The 19099-nt window shown below is 45.8% G+C and overlaps 3 annotated features.

Annotated features, from left to right (window-relative positions):
* Positions 4671-4871: a silencer, noted in NCBI's record as "peak4168 fragment used in MPRA reporter construct". NCBI's record gives its function as "represses an SCP1 promoter by STARR-seq MPRAs in K562 erythroleukemia cells {active_cell/tissue: K562}" and the evidence as "EXISTENCE:reporter gene assay evidence [ECO:0000049][PMID:32103011]".
* Positions 7884-8178: a silencer, noted in NCBI's record as "tiled region #11415; K562 Repressive DNase unmatched - State 12:CtcfO". NCBI's record gives its function as "represses a minimal TATA promoter and a strong SV40 promoter by Sharpr-MPRA in K562 cells {active_cell/tissue: K562}" and the evidence as "EXISTENCE:reporter gene assay evidence [ECO:0000049][PMID:27701403]".
* Positions 18164-18458: a silencer, noted in NCBI's record as "tiled region #15236; K562 Repressive DNase unmatched - State 12:CtcfO". NCBI's record gives its function as "represses a minimal TATA promoter and a strong SV40 promoter by Sharpr-MPRA in K562 cells {active_cell/tissue: K562}" and the evidence as "EXISTENCE:reporter gene assay evidence [ECO:0000049][PMID:27701403]".

Genomic DNA, 19099 nt, shown 5'->3' on the forward strand with positions numbered 1-19099 from the left:
TAGCAAGCCCAGGGCAATGGTTCACTGCAGTAAAGACTGAGAGAATTCTATCTTGGCTGGATGACCTCTCCCCTACCAAATGGAAGTGTACAAGGCAGGGAAGAGGCAGCAAGACAGTGGCATTGGGCTAGCAGAAAAGTATGGCAAGTAGAGGCAGCCTGTGCTGTGCCTTCTGCATCTGCCCTTCTCTAGCCTGAAGACCTGAAGCTTTCCAGGCTCAGTCTCATCGTCTGTAAAATGGGAATCATGCATTTACCTTATAAAGATACAAGGATCAGAAATGCACATCCAAAATACCCAGCATAGGACCCGGGGATCCATAACTGGGAACCCTTAGCAGACAATATGGGTGCAATGGTTAATATTGAGTGTCAACTTGATTGGATTGAAGGATGCAAAGTATTGTTCCCGGGTATGTCTGTGAGGGTGTTTCCAAAGCAGATGAACATTTGGGTCAGTGGACTGGGAGAGGCAGACCCAGCCTTAATCTTTTTGGGCACCATCTAATCAGCTGCCAGTGCGGCTAGAATAAAGCAGACAGAGGAATGTGGAAGGACTTGACTGGCCGAGTCTTCCGGCCTTCACCTTTCTCCCACGCTAGATGCTTCCTGCCCTGGAACATCAGATTTCTTCAGCTTTTGGACTCTTGGACTTACAGACTAACTAATACAGTGACTAATACAGTGGAAGAATCTGGACGGCACGATCCTTGTTAATGCGACCATGGTGGTCACATCTGCTGGTATGGTCTGAATGGTTTCATTCCCCAAAATTTATATGTTGAAGCCTAATCCCCAGTATAATGGTATTTGGAGGTGGGATCTTTGGGAGGTGATTAGGTCAGAGGGTGGAGTCCCTGTGATTGGGATTGGTGCCCTAATAAAAGAGACCCCAGAGAGATCCCTCACTCCCCCAACACCATGTGAGGACACTGAGAATATGTCTGTATGAACCAGAAAGAGAGCCCACAGCAGACACCAAATCTGCAGGTGTCTTGATTTTGGACATCCCAGCCTCTGGAACTGTGGGAAATAAATTTATTTTGTGTATAAATCACCTAGTCTATGGTATTCTGTTTGAGCAGCCAGACTAAGACACCTGCCCTGACTCAGTGTGCCATGGAGTTAGGATACCAGCACAAGAGGGGCTCAGGCAGTGGAACTGGAAGCTCCCTCCTACAAGCACTTAGCCTGGATCAGCAGTCTCCAAGGCAGGATGTGGGACCCCAGGGGAGTGCATGACAATCTAGTGGTATATGGGAAGGATACACAGAGCGATCTCTACATTTATTTCACCTGCATGTAATAAAGAATGTTTTCTAATACTCAGTGTAAGGATTAACTCTGCTTGGCCAAGCATTGTAGTGCCAAAAGTCCATGAGCTACCCAGAGGGAAGAGTGGGAATTTCCCAGTGGAGAGGCAGGCGTGAGATCCTGTCTGCACATTGTGCAGTTTATATGCACCAGGGTGCGTAGATTTCCTTATGGAGAAGAATCCTCACACCACTCTGCTGGCAACTCCCTGTGTAGCTGATGTACTCAGACAAGTGATTTCGAGGTGGGTGGTTTTCTTTTACAAAAGGCAGGCACTTCTTTGGCTGAACTGTCCTCTGTGGGTGGACAAGAGCTAGTCATCAACATGCAACCCAGCAGTGTTTCCAAAAATAATAAACATGCTCAAGCTGTCTTTTCAAGGGAGAGGTGATGTTGAACACTAGATGTTAAGGAAACTGCTTTTCAAAGAAACTTACCCTACAGAGAGATAGAAAAATGATGCATGGAACTTTTCCCTCCTTATGTGATTTTGTTACCAAAAATAACATACGCATGTCATTTATTTTTAAAAACTTCATATCTCATACATTGAAAACACTTGCAAATGGAATTTTCTAACCTGTTTAAAAATCTTCCAAAGTGTTTTAGTGGATTTTGAAGCTATTTGCCTAAAAATTATAAAAATGCAAATACCTTGTAAGAAAAACTGAGATAAAAAAATAAGTTTTAGCCACATTTCAACACAAGCCTTTGCATGATTGGTGAATGGAGTTGAAAACATGAGTGCTGTGATTTAGGCAGCTCTGTGCACTCGCTGGATCCCTGGGAACCTGGTGTGTTGAGAGGGGTCCTCCCAAAGCAGCCCAAACTGAGAAGGTTGAATTGCTGCCTCAGAAATTATAAACCAAAGTTTATGAAATCGATGGAGCATGTCCGATAGTGTTAGTAATCCTTCTAATACCACTTTAGTTCAAAAATAAAAAAGATCGTGTCCATAATAAGAAAATATTTTAAATATTGTTTATTTCATCTTTGTTTTATTTTTATCTTTTTTATGTTAATGTATATTTTATTTTCCAGATAATATACTATGTCAGTGTCATAAAGATAGAATATGTGTGTGTCCATAGACATATATAATGCATTCATATATTGGGGATGAGTTTTTAGATTTTTGGGGATCTCAGAGGCCCAGATGGTTCCACCGACTGGTGGCCCTGAGGAGCCACACTGCAATGCCAGACTCTCCGCCGTCCACAGCCCCCACCCACCCAGCAGCCCAGTCATGCCCACCTCTGCCCTCCAGCTTCCATTCCACCTGGCATCTGGCCTGCCTCTTCTCACTTGCTCCTGCTCTGCCCAAACACATATGGAGGATGCACTTTGACAAAAAGGACCAATGTGGAAACCACACCCAAGTTAGATCCTCAGACAACAGCCAGAGCAGACAAGTACCTGTCACTGAGTGAGAGGGAAAAAGGGATTTCCATGGTCAAATCAGGGAGTATTCTTGCTCTGGGTGTCTCTGGAGGAAGCTGCCTCCTGCTCCCTCTTCTCACCTCTGTCTCCCTCTCATCCTCCCCTGCCAGTGTAGACATCACAGGAGGATGCCTCCACACACCATTGGACAAGTGAGTTCACATCTGAGGTGCATATATTTTTCATGATAGTTTTAATTGTCCAGAAAATTAACAATGAAATGATGGAGTGGCAGAAAGAAAGCAAGAAAAAAACCCTGAAAATTTACAATCTAACTCAGAGAGAACAACACTTTTAGACATCAGGGCAGTGAGAAAAGAATAAATACTTTGTTAATGAATAAAGTGAAGCAGAACAAACAGGAACGTGTACCTAATAGTGCTGGCCCCGGGCGGGCATGTGGTTCAGGGAGATGAATGAGTGAAGTGGTAAATAACTGATGGCGAAGAGGGGCCCTGGCTCCCTGTCCCTGCTGCCAGACAGCTCTGAGGCAGGATTGCCCAGCCCTGCTCATAAGAACCCCCTCCCATGTCAGATGTTCCTCCCCTCCCATCTCACTTCCCCACCTCCTCACACCTGCGTTTTGGGATCACCTCGCAGGTGCGCCGCCCACCCCCAACACCGTGTCTTGAGTCTGCTTTCAGGGTGACCACATAAACACATGTCATCAAGTCCAATGGACACGACCTCCTGTCCAGTGGTACCACAAGGTGTGGTGTGTGCAGACTGCAAGTATTTCTTGTTCTTCCAAATACTAAGGCTGCGCTACGTGTGGTATCAGTCATTGTCACTGTGTTTTCTGGACGGGCATGTCCCAGAGCTGGGGAGTGAGACTTCCACCAGCTGGATGCAAGGCACCATGGCACTGCGTATCCACCTGCGCTCCCTGCATCCGAGCCACCTGCTCCAGCATGTGCTTAGGCGGAAGCACTCGTCTAGCCCCCACAGGAAGCAACTCCACCTTATATAGGAGACAGAATTTCCTGCTGCCTGGCCCCACTGCCTGCAAGCTCTTGGTGTGTTTTTAATTCCATATCTTTTGGTCTTGACAGGCGCGTTGCCTGTTACTAGTTCCCAGCTGCTGGGCAGAGCTGCCCTCCAGTCACTAGGGCTTCTGTTACTCCTCTGTCCCAGAAGGAGCCTGCTCTTCCAGCTCCCCAAAGAGAGGAGGGATCCAGGCTTGCTCTAAGAGTCCCACACCCAAGACATTGGCCAACTCATAGCCCGGGCCACCTGGCATTTGTTCAGTCACCTGCCAAACACTCTTCTCAGCTCCCCTTCAAAATCCCACACCTTTACCCTGCATGCAGAAATGGAGGTCTTGGGGGGCACTGCGATGCACCAGTCTTCTCCCTGCTCCACACAGTGCCTCCACCTCTGCCCTCCTGTCTCTCCTCTGCTCGCTCTGTGATGCTCAGTAGGGCTGTGAGTCAGCCCCAGGCCTGGCCGATTCCCACCCCAGCATTTCCTTCAAAAGCTCCCTGTTCCCTTTGCCCCACAGCCTTCCTGCAGGTTCCAAAGCCAAGGTCTCCACCTGGCCTCCCGTGCCAACTCCCAACCAGCCCCGGAGCCCACACTAAGGCCACAGGAGAGTGTCCCCATGTGACAAGATATTCCAGTATTCCAGGCCCGTTCCCACCCTGCCAGCTTGTCCTTTTAGCCTGTCTCTTCTCCTATTCTGCCCAATCCTGCTGGATGACCTGGTGTCACTAAATATGCCTTTGTTATGAAGAATTACCCAAAACATGGGGATGAGTCAAAAGATTACTATGTGACCCTCTGACAGCCACACCAGAGCATTGGCTGCCAAGTAGGCCTGCCTGAGAGTGACCAGATTTCCTAGGGGAGGTAATATGGTGGTTTTTAAGAAATGTCCACACACTCTGATAATCCTTCCCCAAAGGGTAGAACTTAGTTTCCCTCCCCTTGAGTGGGCTAGGCCTAGAGACTCACACCTAGAGAACAGAACACAAAGGAAGTGATGAGCTGCCACTTCTGAGATTAGGTTATAAAAAGACTGTGGCTTTCATCTTGACTCCTCCCCCTTCCCCTCCCTCCCCATGTCCCTTTTCATCACTCCCTGGGGGAAGGAGCCACCAGGTTTTGTGACCAGCCGTACAGAGAGGCCCCCTTCACGCAGAGAAGATCTGGAGCCTCTGCCAAGAGCCACCTGAGTAAGCCTGGAAGCGGATTGTGAAGCACCTTCTGAAGACTGCAGCCCAGGCTCACAGCCTGACCGAAACCTCATAGAGACCCTCAGAAACTGTGCAACACAAGAAATGTGTGCTGGTTTAGGCTGCTGAGTTTTAGGGTGACATCGCACTAAAAAATTAAATTGTTTGTTGGTTAAGGACCAGACTCTATGAAGTTGGATGTTAACTTGTTGAATATTGATACATTGCAACCCTTTCTGCTGGCAGAGTAAATAACCTGAAAGATAGTGGTTCCATTGTCCTACAGGACATTAATCAGTCGCGTATCTGACTTTATCATTGGACTCTCTCATTCTGATATGCACTGTCAGTTTTTCCAGTCCTTTGAACCAGCTTTATCATTTTAGTTCTCTCACTAATGAACTAAGTAAATATTTGATACCAAAATATTTGTGGGGGAATCATATGTTAGCTTTTGAGGCTTGCCCTTTGATACTGTGTCATTCTGTGCCTTTGCACCTCTGCCCTGCTTTACCTGTAGGTGGAAGCCCTTCCCTGTCCCAGCTACCTGCTGTAAAAAAGCTTTCTCTGTGCCCTCTCGGGAGAAGCTTTCCCTGGCCCTGGGAAGAAGACATCCCCGCCCTCTCCACGTCCCCGTGGCACTTTGCTCATGAGGCTATCAGAGAATGTCTCAGACCACGTGGATCATGTTGGGGCCCAACCCCAGCTGTGACTGCTGTCCAGGCCTTTGTGTAGGAAGTGAGGGCAGGCTGGGGCAGGGCTTTGCGGGGGACACATCTTCAGAAGAGGCTGGGGTGGTCCTGGCGACCCGTTCGAATAAAGGAGTCCTTTTGCAAGGAGTTGTCATGCGTGTGCCAAGCCAAGGGCGAGAGACTAAGGCTCAGCTTGGGGGAAGGTGCGGATGGAAAACTTGGGCCTCTACTGTTCATCACATAAAAAAGGAGAGAAAAATGCACCAAGGATAGAGGGACAGAGACAAAAAAGGAGAGAAAAATGCACCAAGGATCGAGGAACAGAGAGGCTGGCGTAAAGGGAGCCAGAGTGTGCGAGGAGAGGTGAGGGGTGAGGAGGGGAGGCCAGGCTCATCAGGAAGTGCTGTGAGGCTCCTTTAAGGACAAGCCCCTGCATCCGGCCCAACTTCATAAAGGACAAGCTCTGAGTGGGGCAATCATGAGTTTCATAAGGGCATGGAAAAAGTTTCATTTGTCTTTGAGTCTTCTTCCTCCATCCAGCACATAATACATAGATGCTTGTTAACCAAGAGATTCACCAGTAAATGAATGTCTCTTATATATTTTTTTAAAGCAGGTATCCTGAAAAACATTTTCCTCAAAATATCTGCTAAAGCATTACTTATTGGTGCCTCTAAGCACATACCCTTCTCATCTGTGTTAGCACCACCCTTTTCTCTTTCTTGTCTTAAGGCTTCCACAAGGCTATCAGTCAGTTTTTACTGCCTAACAAGCCACCACATTTCCTATTGCCCCTGTAACAAACTACCACAAATTTAATGACTTAAAATGCCACACATTTGGCCAGGTGCGGTGGCTCATGCCTGTAATCCCAGCACTTTGGGAGGCCGAGGCAGTTGGATCACCTGAAGTCAGGAGTTCGAGACCAGCCTGGTCAACATGGTAAAACCCCATCTCTACTAAAAATACAAAAAATTATCTGGGCGTGGTGGCATACACCTGTAATCCCAGCTACTTGGGAGGCCGAGGCAGGAGAATCAGTCAAACCTGAACCCAGGAGGCGGAGGTTGCAGTGAGCAGAGATTGCACCATTGCACTCCAGCCTGGGCGACAAGAGAGAAACTCCATCTCAAAAAAAAAAAAAAAAAAGCTACACATTTATTCTCTTACAGTTCTGTGAGCCAGAAGTCCAAAGTGAGTCTTCCTGGGCTAAAATTGAAGCATCTGCAGGGCTGGCTTCTTCTAGGGGCTGCAGGGAGAATCTGATCTTTGCCTTATCAGCTGCTAGAGGCCTCTGGCATTCGTGGGCTGCATCATTCCAGTCTCTGTCTGTTGCCATAACTTGTCTTCTGTCTGACCTCCACATGTCCCTCTAACAAGGCCTTTGTGATTGCATTGGGCCAACCTGGATAGTCTGGGATGCTCTCTCCCCATTTCAAGACCCTTAACTTCATCACATTCACAAAGGCCCTTTTCCTATGGAAGGTGACATATTCACAGATTCTGGGGATTAGGAAGTGGACATCTTTCTCTGTAGAGGGGGGTGAGGTCTGTTATTTGGCATTTTGTTCAAGGTTAAGCACCAAAACCATGCATCCCTCTCACAATTTGGGCATTTTTCAATCCGAGCTTGGCTGACTCATGCATAGGCAGCAGCTGTTGGGCCAGCTGAGGGCTGGCTGGTTGAGGATGGCCTCAGCTCAGACAGCTCATCTCTGCTTTTGTGGCCTCTCACCCTCCAGCAGGCTAGGAGGGGCTTGTTTACATGGAAGCTGGACATGGTTCCAAGAAACGAGGCAAAAGCACTCAAGGCATATTGAGGTGCAGTCTCAGAATTGACCCAGAACCCCTTCTACCTCATTCCACTGGCTGAAACAAGTCATGAGGTCAGCTCAGGTTCTAGTGGGGAGTAAGTCAGTGGAGCTGCCAAGTCATATTGCAAAGGTCAAGATATAGAGAGTGGTGAAAGATTGCAGCCAGTTCTGCCATATGCTATGGTAAACACCTAGCTGCTGCAAAATCTTTCATTCCTTGCATATTATCAAGTACCTGCCAGGGCACAGCTTACAAACAAGAAAACAGCTCCAGGAACCCAAACTACCAAAGACTCTAAGAAGCAGCCCCTTGTCCTGTCTGTAAGAACTCTGCTCCTGACCATCACACACTGGGTTCATTTTCAACCTACTGCTCTGTACACAGCAGGGACCTCTGTGTGCTGCTCCCTATTCCTCTCTTCCTAAATAAACCTACCCCTCCATCAAGGTCAAAGCTATTCCAACAACTTGAAGCCTTGCCACTATTTCCCACAAGGGCGTCAGTCTCCCTCCCCATTCTACAGCCCACAGCTTCCATGTTAGCTTCCATGCAAACCCAAGGCTTCATTTGCCCGGCCCTGGGCCAGCACAGCACTGCTGAATCTGTGCGCTCCGTCTCCAACAGCGACACCGTGTGGCAGGAAGAAGGAATGGTAGTAATGGAGTAGGTGCAGGTTTTTCCCCACTTAGGTGTGAAGACTGACCCTCTTCTGTTTATAAGCCCTATGGTGGCTCAAGGAAGGGATGTTGTCCTTCCTGCCTTTAAGGCATTAAGACGCATAAGGACAATAAAATTTTAGTGGCTGAAAAATAAACAGCAGGATTGCGTTTACGCTCCACTTGGAGCAGGCCATCCTGGTTATACACACACCTTATAGTTGCTTTCTCCAAAACACATCTGGTTTTGGTTAACTTTTTACTTCAATATAATTTTAAGCTTAAAAAAATTGCAAAAAATAGTACAAGGATCTCTGTTTTGCCATTTTCCCAGATTCACCAATTAATTACCTATTTCTCCATTTGCAATGAAAGCAAGAGAGAAAAAGACAGACTTTTCCTTGGCTATTTGAGAGTTAAGTTGGAGAAATATTCCCTAATTTACTGATGATTACTTCAGTATGATTTCTAAAAATACAGACAATTTCTTATACACATACCTATAGTATTATTACCAAAATCAGAACATTTTACATTGATGCAATACTGTTATCTAATCCACAGTATCCATTTAAATTTTATCAGTTGTCCCTACAGTGTACTTTATAGTAATATTTTTTCAGTCCGCATACCTTTTTAAATCCTTAACGACTACATGCATACATTCAGTTGACAGAATATTGTGAGAAACTGATGAACAAGTTTAATCTTTCTACACTTTTTACCTAGCAGTGCAGGTAAGCCTAGACTCGATTGAGTAATACATAGTCCATTGAAAGAGGTATGGCCTTCCAGTGACAGTGTCAATTAATTGACCTGCAATAAGTCCAGGAGAGAAAGGTGGAACTGTCCTTTTAGGGCCAAACATTTCTGCAAGCCTGAAGTCCCTTCCTGAGTGTCTCCTAGGCAAAAGAGCAGGATTCCAGGTAAACTTCCAAAAGACACTGTTTCAGAAAAACACATCTGGCCATGTCAACTACAGAGTACAGAGAGACACAAGGACATGCCAGACCAAGAACATCGGCCTTATATGCCATAGCTGAGCTTTGTTTTGATGCAAAAATAAGTTTCTGGCACTTTTATGCCACTGTCAGGAGGAAGCTGACAGAGGTAGAAGTGAGGGAGGTGGCTAGGCTGCATTTCCAGGATGCCTGGGGTTGGGACAGCGTGTTTCCCTCTCGGGTCTAGGAAAAAACATGTTTTCTCCAGATTTGCCACCTACAGAAAATCTTATTATTTGCCTTATGAATATGAAGTCATTGTTCAAAGAGTTAAAAATAAAATAAGTGGGGAAGGCTATATTTGGCTAGGAATGGTGCTAATACCGGGTTATATAACCTCTCCCATGACACTCCATGCATGGAGCATCTCCACCAAGGGTTATGTGTGGAAAGTGCACAGAATGAATTTTACAGATTCCATGGAAAACACTGTCAGGCCCCAGTGTCCTTGTTGTCAAGACAACATCTTATTTTCATCTTTCTTCTTGCAAGTTCTCTAGCAAAGACATTATAATTAAAATCCCAACATAAGAAGCAACCGTATGTAAAATTCAGAGCACAGACTGTGACAAGCAGGGAATTGAGTGTGGAGTCCTGTGGTCAAACTTTAATAGACTTAGGACAAAATTGTATTGTCTGTGGGCCTAAGCTTCAGGGAGCTTTGGAGCTGCACTGAATCACTTTCTAGGGTTTTTATGGTTTGGGGTTTTACATTTAAGTCTTTAATCCATCTTGAGTTAATTTCTGCATAAGCTGCAAGGAAGGGCTCCAGTTTCAGTTTTCTGCATATGGCCAGCAAGTTTTCCCAGCAGCATTTGTTGAATAGGAGATCCTTTCTCCATTGCTTGATTTTGTCTGGTTTGTCAAAGACCAGATGGTTGTAGATGCATGGTGTTATTTCTGAGGTCTCTGTTCTATTGGTCTATATGTCTGTTTTGGTACCAGTACCATGCTGTTTTGGTTACTGTAGCCTTGTAGTGTAGTTTGAAGTCAGGTAGCGTGATGCCTCCAGCTTTGTTCTTTTTGCTTAGGATTGTCTTGGCTATACAGGGTCTTCTTTGATTTCATATGAAATGGAAAGTAGTTTTTTCTAATTATGTGAAGAATGTCAATGGTAGTTTGAGGGGAATAGCACTGAATCTATAAATTACTTTGGGCAGTGTGGCCATTTTCACAATATTGATTCTTCCTACCCAAAAGGATGGAATGTTTTTCCATTTGTTTGTGTCCTCTCTTATTTCCTTGAGCAGTGGTTTGTAGTTCTCCTTGAAGAGGTCCTTCACATTTCTTGTTAGCTGTATTCCTCGGTATTTTATTCCCTTTGTAGCAGTTGTGAATGGGAGTTCATTTATGACTTGGCTCGGAATGTTTGTGATTTTTGCACATTGATTTTGTATCCTGAGACTTTGCTGAAGTTGCTCATCAGCTTAAGGAGTTTTGGGGCTGAGATGATGGGATTTTCTAAATATAGAATCATGTTGTCTGCAAACAGAGACAATTTGACTTCCTCTCTTCCTATCTGAATACCCGTTATTTCTTTCTCTCGCCTGATTGCCCTGGCCAGAACTTCCAATACTATGTTGAATAAAAGTGGTGAAACAGGGCATCTTTGTCTTGTATAGGCTTTCAAAGGGAATGCTTCCAGCTTTTCCCTATTCAATATGATATTGGCTGTGGGTTGATTATTTTGAGATATGTTCTACCAATACTTAGTTTATTGAGAGTTTTTAACATGAAGGGATGTTGAATTTTATCAAAGGCTGAGCTTTTTCTGAATCTATTGAGATAATCATGTGGTTTTTGTCGTTGGTTCTGTTTATGTGATGGATTACATTTATTGATTTGCATATGTTGAACTAGCCTTGCATCCCAGGGATGAAGCCAACTTGATTGTGGTGGATAAGATTTTTGATGTGCTGCCATATTTTGTTTGCCAGTATTTTATTGAGAATTTCCACATCAATGTTCATCAGGGATATTGGCCTGAAGTTTTCTTTTTTTGTCGTGTCTCTTTCCAGTTTTGGTATCAGGACAATACTGGCTTCATAAAATGAGTTAGGGAGGAGTCCTTCCTTTTCAATTGTTTGGAATAGTTTTAGAAGGAATGGTACCAGTTCCTCACCTATTTCTGATATAATTTAGCTGTGAATCTGTCTGGTCCTGGGTTGGTAGGCTACCAATTACTGCCTCAATTTCAGAGCTCGTTACTGGTCTTTTCAGGGATTCGACTTCTTCCTGGTTTAGTCTTGGTAGGGTGTATGTGTCCAGGAATGTATCCATTTCTTCTAGATTTTCCAGTTTATTTGCATAGATGTGTTTATGGTAGTCTCTGATGGTAGTTTGTATTTCTGTGGGGTTAGTGGTGATATTCCCTTTATCATTTTTCATTGTGTCTATTTGATTCTTCTCTCTCTTCTTATTAGCCTAGCTAGCGGTCTATATTGTTAATTTTTTCAAAAGAATAGCTCCTGGATTCATTGATTTTTGGAGGGTTTTTCCTGTCTCTATCTCCTTCTTCTCTGAGCTAAATTAGCTCAGAGAATTTTGGATTAGTTTCCTCTTGCCTCTCTACCTCTTTTAATTGTGATGTTAGGATGCTGATTTGAGATCTTTCTAGCTTTCTGATGTGGGCATTTAGTGCTATAAATTTCCCTCTTCACACTGCTTTAGCTGTGTCCCAGAGATTCTGGTACATTGTCTCTTTGTTTTCATTGCTTTCAAAGAACTCCTTGATTTCTGCCTTAATTTCATTATTTGCCCAGAAGTCATTCAGGAGCAGGTTGTTCAATTTCCATGAAATTGTGTAGTTTTGAGTGACTTTCTTAATCCTGAGTTCTAATTTGATTGCACTGTGATCTGAGAGATTGTTATGATTTCAGTTCTTTTTCACTTGTTGAGGAGTGTTTTATTTCCAATTATGTGATCCAATTTTAGAATAAGTACCATGTGGCACTGAGAAGAATGTGTGTTCTGTTGATTTGGGGTGAAGAGTTCTGTAGATGTCTATTAGGTCCACTTGATCCAGAGTGCTGAGTTTAAGTCCTGAATATCCTTGTTAATTTTCTGTCTCATTGATCTGTCTAATATTGACAGTGGGGTGTTAAAGTCTCCCACTATTATTGTGTGGGAGTCTAAGTTTCTTTGTACGTCTCTAAGAACTTGTTTTATGAATCTGGGTGCTCCTGTATTGGGTGCAGATATAGTTAGAATAGTTAGCTCTTGTTTAATTGTTCCCTTTACCATTATGTAATGCCCTTCTTTGTCTTTTTTTATTTTTGTTGGTTTAAAGTCTGTTTTGACAGAGACTAGGATTGCAACCCTGCTTTTTTTTCATTTTGCCTCTTAATCCGCATGCCTGAGCCCACTCGTCCAGTTCCTAAGATCTTATTAGGAGGCTGCCAATCACCAGTTACAGGTGTTTTTATCTATTGGGAAACTGCCTTTCCCTAGCACTGGATGCGACCAATTATTATTTTAGAGAGGGAGTGTTACAACCACCTGACCATCACCTGATGGTCACCTGGCATTCCTGGTGGGGAAGTGGACGTCCTCTCCTGCCCTGTTTGTGTTTGACTAGCTATCCACTATAACAATATCATATGTTCAATTCTTTTTTTTTTTTTTTTGAGACAGAGTCTCACTTTGTCACCCAGGCTGGAGTGCAATGGCATGATCTCAACTCACTGCAACCTCCTCCTCCCAGGTTCAAGTGATTCTCCCACCTCAGCTGCCCCAAGAGCTGGGATTACAGGCACCTGCCATCATGCCCAGCTAATTTTTGTATTTTTATAGAGATGGGGTTTCACCATGTTGGCCAAGCTGGTCTTGAACTCCTGACCTCAGCTCATCCACCTGCCTTGGCCTCCCAAAGGTTGGGATTATAGGTGTGAGCCACCACACCCTGCCAAATGTTCAATTCTTAAGAAAGAAAAATCTAACAAATCCTACACTAACAAGTGTTGAAAGTGTGCTAGGAAATTGTGAATTCGTATACACTGCTGATGAGACATCTTTGAAGAGCTAGCTGGTAATATCAGATAATATTAAAAATTGAGCTTGTCCCATGACTCAGCAAACTTTATTGTAGAAAATCTAGGTATCAATCTCTGAAATGCATGCACAATAGGAAATATACATGGTGTGGTTTTTTTTAAAGCACCATTTGCAACAAGTAAAAACTGAAATGACCTAAATATCCACCAATAGCAAAATAGATAAAGTATGACATATTCATATACTGGAATGCTACACATTGATTAAAATAAACATGCTATTCATGCATTGTCAACAAGAATAAATCTTAAAAAACAATTGGTGTTTGGGGAAAGGGGAATAGAGAGTTGTTGTTTGATGGGTGTAGAGTTTCAGTTTGGAAAGAAAGAAGGTTCTGGAAGTGGATGGTGGTGATAGTTCGAACGTACTTAATGCCACTGAACTGTACAGTTTAAAATGTCTAAAATGGACCCATGTTGTTCAAGGATCAACTGTACTTCAATCAATCAATAGAAGTGAGCATTGACTTTGCTTTTGCCTTTAAAAAATCCTTTAGGAAAACAACACATCTTATATTTTTCTTTGCTGGGGGGGCTTCCCTGTGTCACTCAGGCTGGAGTGCAGTGGCGCTATCTCAGTTCACTGCAACATCCACCTCCTGGGCTTGAGAGATCCCCCCACCTCAGCCTCCTGAGTAGCTGGGACTATAGACATGAACCATCATGGCTGGCTAATTTTTTAATTTTTTGTAGAGATGTTTTTGTAGAGTTTTTTTGTAGAGACCAGCCATTTGCTCAGGCTGGTCTTGAATTCCTGGGCTCAAGTGATCTGCCTGCCTCGGGCTCTCAAAATGCTGGGATTATAGACTTGAGCCACCATGTCCGGCCAACAAGCATCTTTTGAAGTACAAATTATTGAAGGGTTTACAGCACTTGCTCACTCATGTACGTGAGGTCCCTGCACTGGTTCTTTCCATCAACCAGATGGATCCACTGGTGGGAGGAAGTGGATGATAGAAGTGGGGTCCATGAGGCACTGCTCAGAGGACTGGCAGGACAGTAGGCTGACAGGACATCTAAGGGAAGCAGAAGGTCTGAGGGAGGAAGAGGAGAGGCAGAGCCCAGGCAACCTGGGCCCCCTGCCTGGCCAGTTCTGGGATGCTGCCCTCAGCAGAGCTGGGGGAGAACTGTCACACTTTCACTGCCCTTGCCACCCGGCTCATATCACCAGGCACCATGCCACTGCAGGGACACTCCTCAATTCACCAACCAGCAAAGGACCCCTGGAATTTTTCTTGACTCTGAGGCTTTAGTGAAAGTAGTGAGGAAAACATCTAAAAATAAAATCGTGATGAATTCAAGATGTATGTGGCATTATGCTTGTCAGAAAAAGCTCAATGACTTAAGTTTTGTCCCCATCATTCCTTAGGAGCCACCGGGTAAACATTTGCACCTGGCTGGAGAGGGCAGAGAGGAGCCTTGGTTCCCATCAGGCCACCAGCCCTAGGATTTGCCAGCATCATTCTGTGGTGCCTACTCACACACACACGTGCTCTCTCCCCAGCCTCTCCTCTTCAGCACCCTCCCTCCCCAGTGTCCATACATTTTCCTACATCTGGTTGTGGACGGAAATGTCTGAGGAATCACAGAAGGGCCCTGATAGTGAAATAGACACAGGGGCCAGCCTGCACCCTTCTTGACCCTTGGGCTTGACCTAATATCTTTGCAGGGTAGTTCACAGTCTGAACCAGGTGAGCAAACTTCTTGTGTGAAGAGCAGACAGCAAACATTTCAGGCTGTGGGGGCCACCCAGTCTCTGCTGCAACTGGTTAACTTGCTGCTGTAGCTTCAAAGTAGCCATAGGCAATATATAAACAAATTGTGTCACTGTGTTCCAGTAAAACTTTATTATACACACTGAACTTTGAATTTCATATAATTTTGGGGTGTTTTGCAATATTAGTCTTCCCAGCCGCCTAAAAATGTAAAATCCATGGGTCATGCAAAAACAGGTGGCTAGCCAGATTTGTCCCAAGGATCATAATTTGCCAAGCCATGACCTAAATACCCAAAGAATTATTGGAGCCAAAACCACAGATGCCACCCAAGAACCATGTGCTCAGGTAAAAAAAGCTCTGTGAAGAAGGGGTAAAAAGAGCAGAGAGAAATGTTGACTTTTCTCTTAAAAACCATCTACTCCTCCCTGCTCAGGCTAATTAGCTCACTCTCCACCAGCTGCAGCAACTGAAGCTGAAACAGCCAAATTCCCGCAGCAGCAACAGCTAATGACGCTTCCCAGCACCTCATTTGATCATTCCTGCAACCGATTAGGTAGATACAGGGAAGGAAACTGGAGAGCAGACAGGATGAGGACCGTGCCCAAGACCTCAGATAGCACATGGCAGAATCAGCATTTGGACACAATTGGACTAGTCCCTGCTGTCCCCACTGTGACACCTTTGTGAAAATTGTGAACAAATGCAAAACTGGAGTGTGATATTCCCCTTCCTGTGTCCATGTGATCTCATTGTTCAATTCCCACCTATGAGTGAGAATATGCGGTGTTTGGTTTTTTGTTCTTGCGATAGTTTACTGAGAATGATGATTTCCAATTTCATCCATGTCCCTACAAATGACATGAACTCATCATTTTTTATGGCTGCATAGTATTCCATGGTGTATATGTGCCACATTTTCTTAATCCAGTCTATCATTGTTGGACATTTGGGTTAGTTCCAAGTCTTTGCTATTGTGAATAATGCCGCAATAAACATACTGTGCATGTGTCTTTATAGCAGCATGATTTATAGTCATTTGGGTATATGCCCAGTAATGGGATGGCTGGGTCAAATGGTATTTCTAGTTCTAGATCCCTGAGGAATCGCCACACTGACTTCCACAATGGTTGAACTAGTTTACAGTCCCACCAACAGTGTAAAAGTGTTCCTATTTCTCCACATGGGGACTGTGGTGGGGTTGGGGGAGGGGGGAGGGATAGCATTGGGAGATATACCTAATGCTAGATGACGAGTTAGTGGGTGCAGCGCACCAGCATGGCACATGTATACATATGTAACTAACCTGCACAATGTGCACATGTACCCTAAAACTTAAAGTATAATAAAAAAAAAATGCAAAACTGGAAGAGCCAATCCTTTAAGATGAGTCCCATGTGGGTAACTGGCCCTATATTTAAAATATAGCTGAGTGGCTATTTGCTGATTAGAGGTCACACAGGTAACTCACACAAGCACTCTGAAAACCAGCACCTTTTTAGCTTTGGGACTCTCAGAGCTTACCTGAACCAACCAATCAGAGCTCACCTACCTTTGCAATCAAAGTTTGGCTGACCAATCACGGCTCACCTGTATCCAATCAGAACTCAGCTGCATTGACCAATCAGAACTAAGCAAGTTTGACTCCTTTATGTGCATCAACCGACCCGATTGGGATCTTGTGTGGGACCTTTGCTACAAAACCCAAACCCTCTCTTTAGCCCCGGGAAGATAACTTTCTTTTACACCAAAGGCTGTGTCTCCCCAGTTTGCAAACTGTTCACTGGGATGAAGTCTCTTTCCTCCCAATTTTGTTTTTCAGGGAACTTTTGCTCACAAAACGAATCACAGCTGGCCCACAGCAGAGCTGCAGGCGGGGCAGAGAACCCACAGCAGAGGGCTCTGTCACCGCAGAACCAGGCAGATCTGTGTGAGCAGCAAGCATAAACTCAGGGCAGCAGGCTCTGTCTTGAGGGCTAGAAGGAACGACGGAGCCACGGCGATGGTCTTTCTCCGAGATGCATTTCCAGGAAGTTGGAATTCTGATCTTACTGAGACTTTATTTTGCTGAGCTTGGCATTGACTACTTGGACACTGAGTCACTGTTTACTGCTTTCGAAAATAAGACAAGCTCATGGGCTTGCTGGGGATGAAGCAAGAAACGTGTGGCCCCATCAGGACTGGCGCCCAGAGCCCGGGTCACCCTGTGCACAGAACTGACACCTTAAGGAGACAGAGTGGCGCCGGCGCCCTGGGCCACCTGGAGGGCCCGAGAGCGGGAGAGGGTTCAGGGAGGGTGTCTGTGATGGGAGGAGCAGGCCCAGGACGGAGGAGGACAGAGTCGGGGGTCTCAGGGCAGTGTGTGCCTTCTGCCAGTCGCTAGGGCGGACTCGAGGTTGCCCTCCGCGCCTTCCTCGCTGTCACCTCCCACAGCCAAGGCAGCTGCCAAGGTCACTCCTAAATACATCCCAAGTCCACCCCATGCCGCTCCCCTCAGCCGTGGTCCCAGTCCAGACCACGATTCCGCCCAGACCCTGCATGACCCCTCCCATCTCAGGCTCCACTTGGGGACCAGAGGGATCTTAAAATATGGATGGGACAGTGACGCCTCTCCTTAAAAGCTCAGGAAAGATGAAAATGTCCTCATCCTCTCTCAAGGCATTTGCAGTTCCCCTACCCCGGGCGCTGCCCCACCCCTCACGGACTCCTCTCCATCCCCGGGTCCCCACCTGGCCACCTCCCTCAGGAAAGCTCCTGGCCCTACTCACCATCAGTCTCTTTAGGACCTCTCCACTCACCCTCTGGCGTTCACCTCTCCCTCTTGCCCGTTAGAGTGAGGCCTTGATGAGGCACCTGCCTTATTCCTCCTGCCCGTCCTGATGGCTCCTGCCCACCTCCACAGCAGAGCCTGCTTCTCCGTGCCTGGAAGCTTTCCCCAGAAGAGCAGGTCTGCATGTACACGCAGGTGCACACAAGCAACAGGCCGGGAGCACCCCTCACCCAGAGACTCTGCCAGTGTGTGTGCAGACCTGAGCTCCCTTGCCCCAGGAGGAACAGTGCTGGTGTGTGTGTGTGTGTGTGTCTCTGTGTGTGTATCTGTGTGTCTGTGTGTGTGTATCTGTGTCTGTGTGTCTGTGTATGTGTGTCTGTGTCTCTGTGTGTCTCTGTGTATGTGTCTGTGTCTGTGTGTGTGTCAGTATCTGTGTGTCTATTTGTGTCTGTGTCTCTCTGTGTATCTGCATGTGTGTCTGTGTCTGTGTGTGTGCCTGTATCTGTGTGTCTATTTGTGTCTGTGTCTCTTTGTGTGTGTATCTGCGTGTGTGTCTCTGTGTGTGTGTCTGTGTATGTGTGTCTGTGTGTGCACTCACACTGGTTCTCCAGGGTTCCTCCCAGGACTGAGCTGAAGTTGTCCACAGCGGCCCCTGCTGGAGCACACACCTTGATTCTCTGCCTCTGCTCCCCAGGCTCACTTCCCCATTCTCTTCTGGCTGCTTCCTGGCATTGCCTCTCAGATAAGCCACTTCGCGCTGATGGGAACTCAGATGCTGGGAGTACACATGCACCTTGGTGTCGAGCTCAGCGGCTGGCACAGAGGGAGGGAGAGAAGGAGGTGGACTACCAAGTTATTGTCTAAACATCAGCCTCTGGTCACCGCTCGTGTGAGGCAGTGAGCATCCCTTCTTGCCCCCTGGGCTCTCAGCGGTCAGCCTTGGGTCCTGGGGAGACTTGGCCAAGTCCCGGTTCCCTGGGGCTATCTCTCTCCTGCCCTGCGCTTTTGAGTGTCCCCTCCCCACATCCCCTCTTTCATCCTGACCCACTACTCTGGTTGTAAATAAAATAAGCAGACTACAACAGCTTACTATCACACTGTTCAGCCATGGACTGCCTTGTTCAGCCATGAACTGCCTTGTCTTGAAGGAATCCTAGTATTACTACTTGAATCCTAATCGCTCTTAAATTTGAAAAATTAAGGCTAATGGAATTTGTACAACAGTTGTATCAAGAGGAAAGTCTATGATAATTACTATAAAAACAGCCCAGCTCCATCAGCTTTGCATGGGTGATCGCTCCAGCGGTGTGCCCATCCTCAGCTATAGTCCCTTTCTACAGATTAGGAGGCAGAGGCCTAGTGAGGCTAGGGCACTTGCCCGGATCCCTTGCAAATGTTTGGCCCATGTCCCTAACCACCATGCTCTTATGTCTCCTGTTTTCTGGGTCACTTCTCACTATGAATTGGGGGA

Source organism: Homo sapiens, chromosome 20 (genome assembly GCF_000001405.40).
Source record: "Homo sapiens chromosome 20, GRCh38.p14 Primary Assembly".
NCBI lineage: Eukaryota > Metazoa > Chordata > Mammalia > Primates > Hominidae > Homo > Homo sapiens.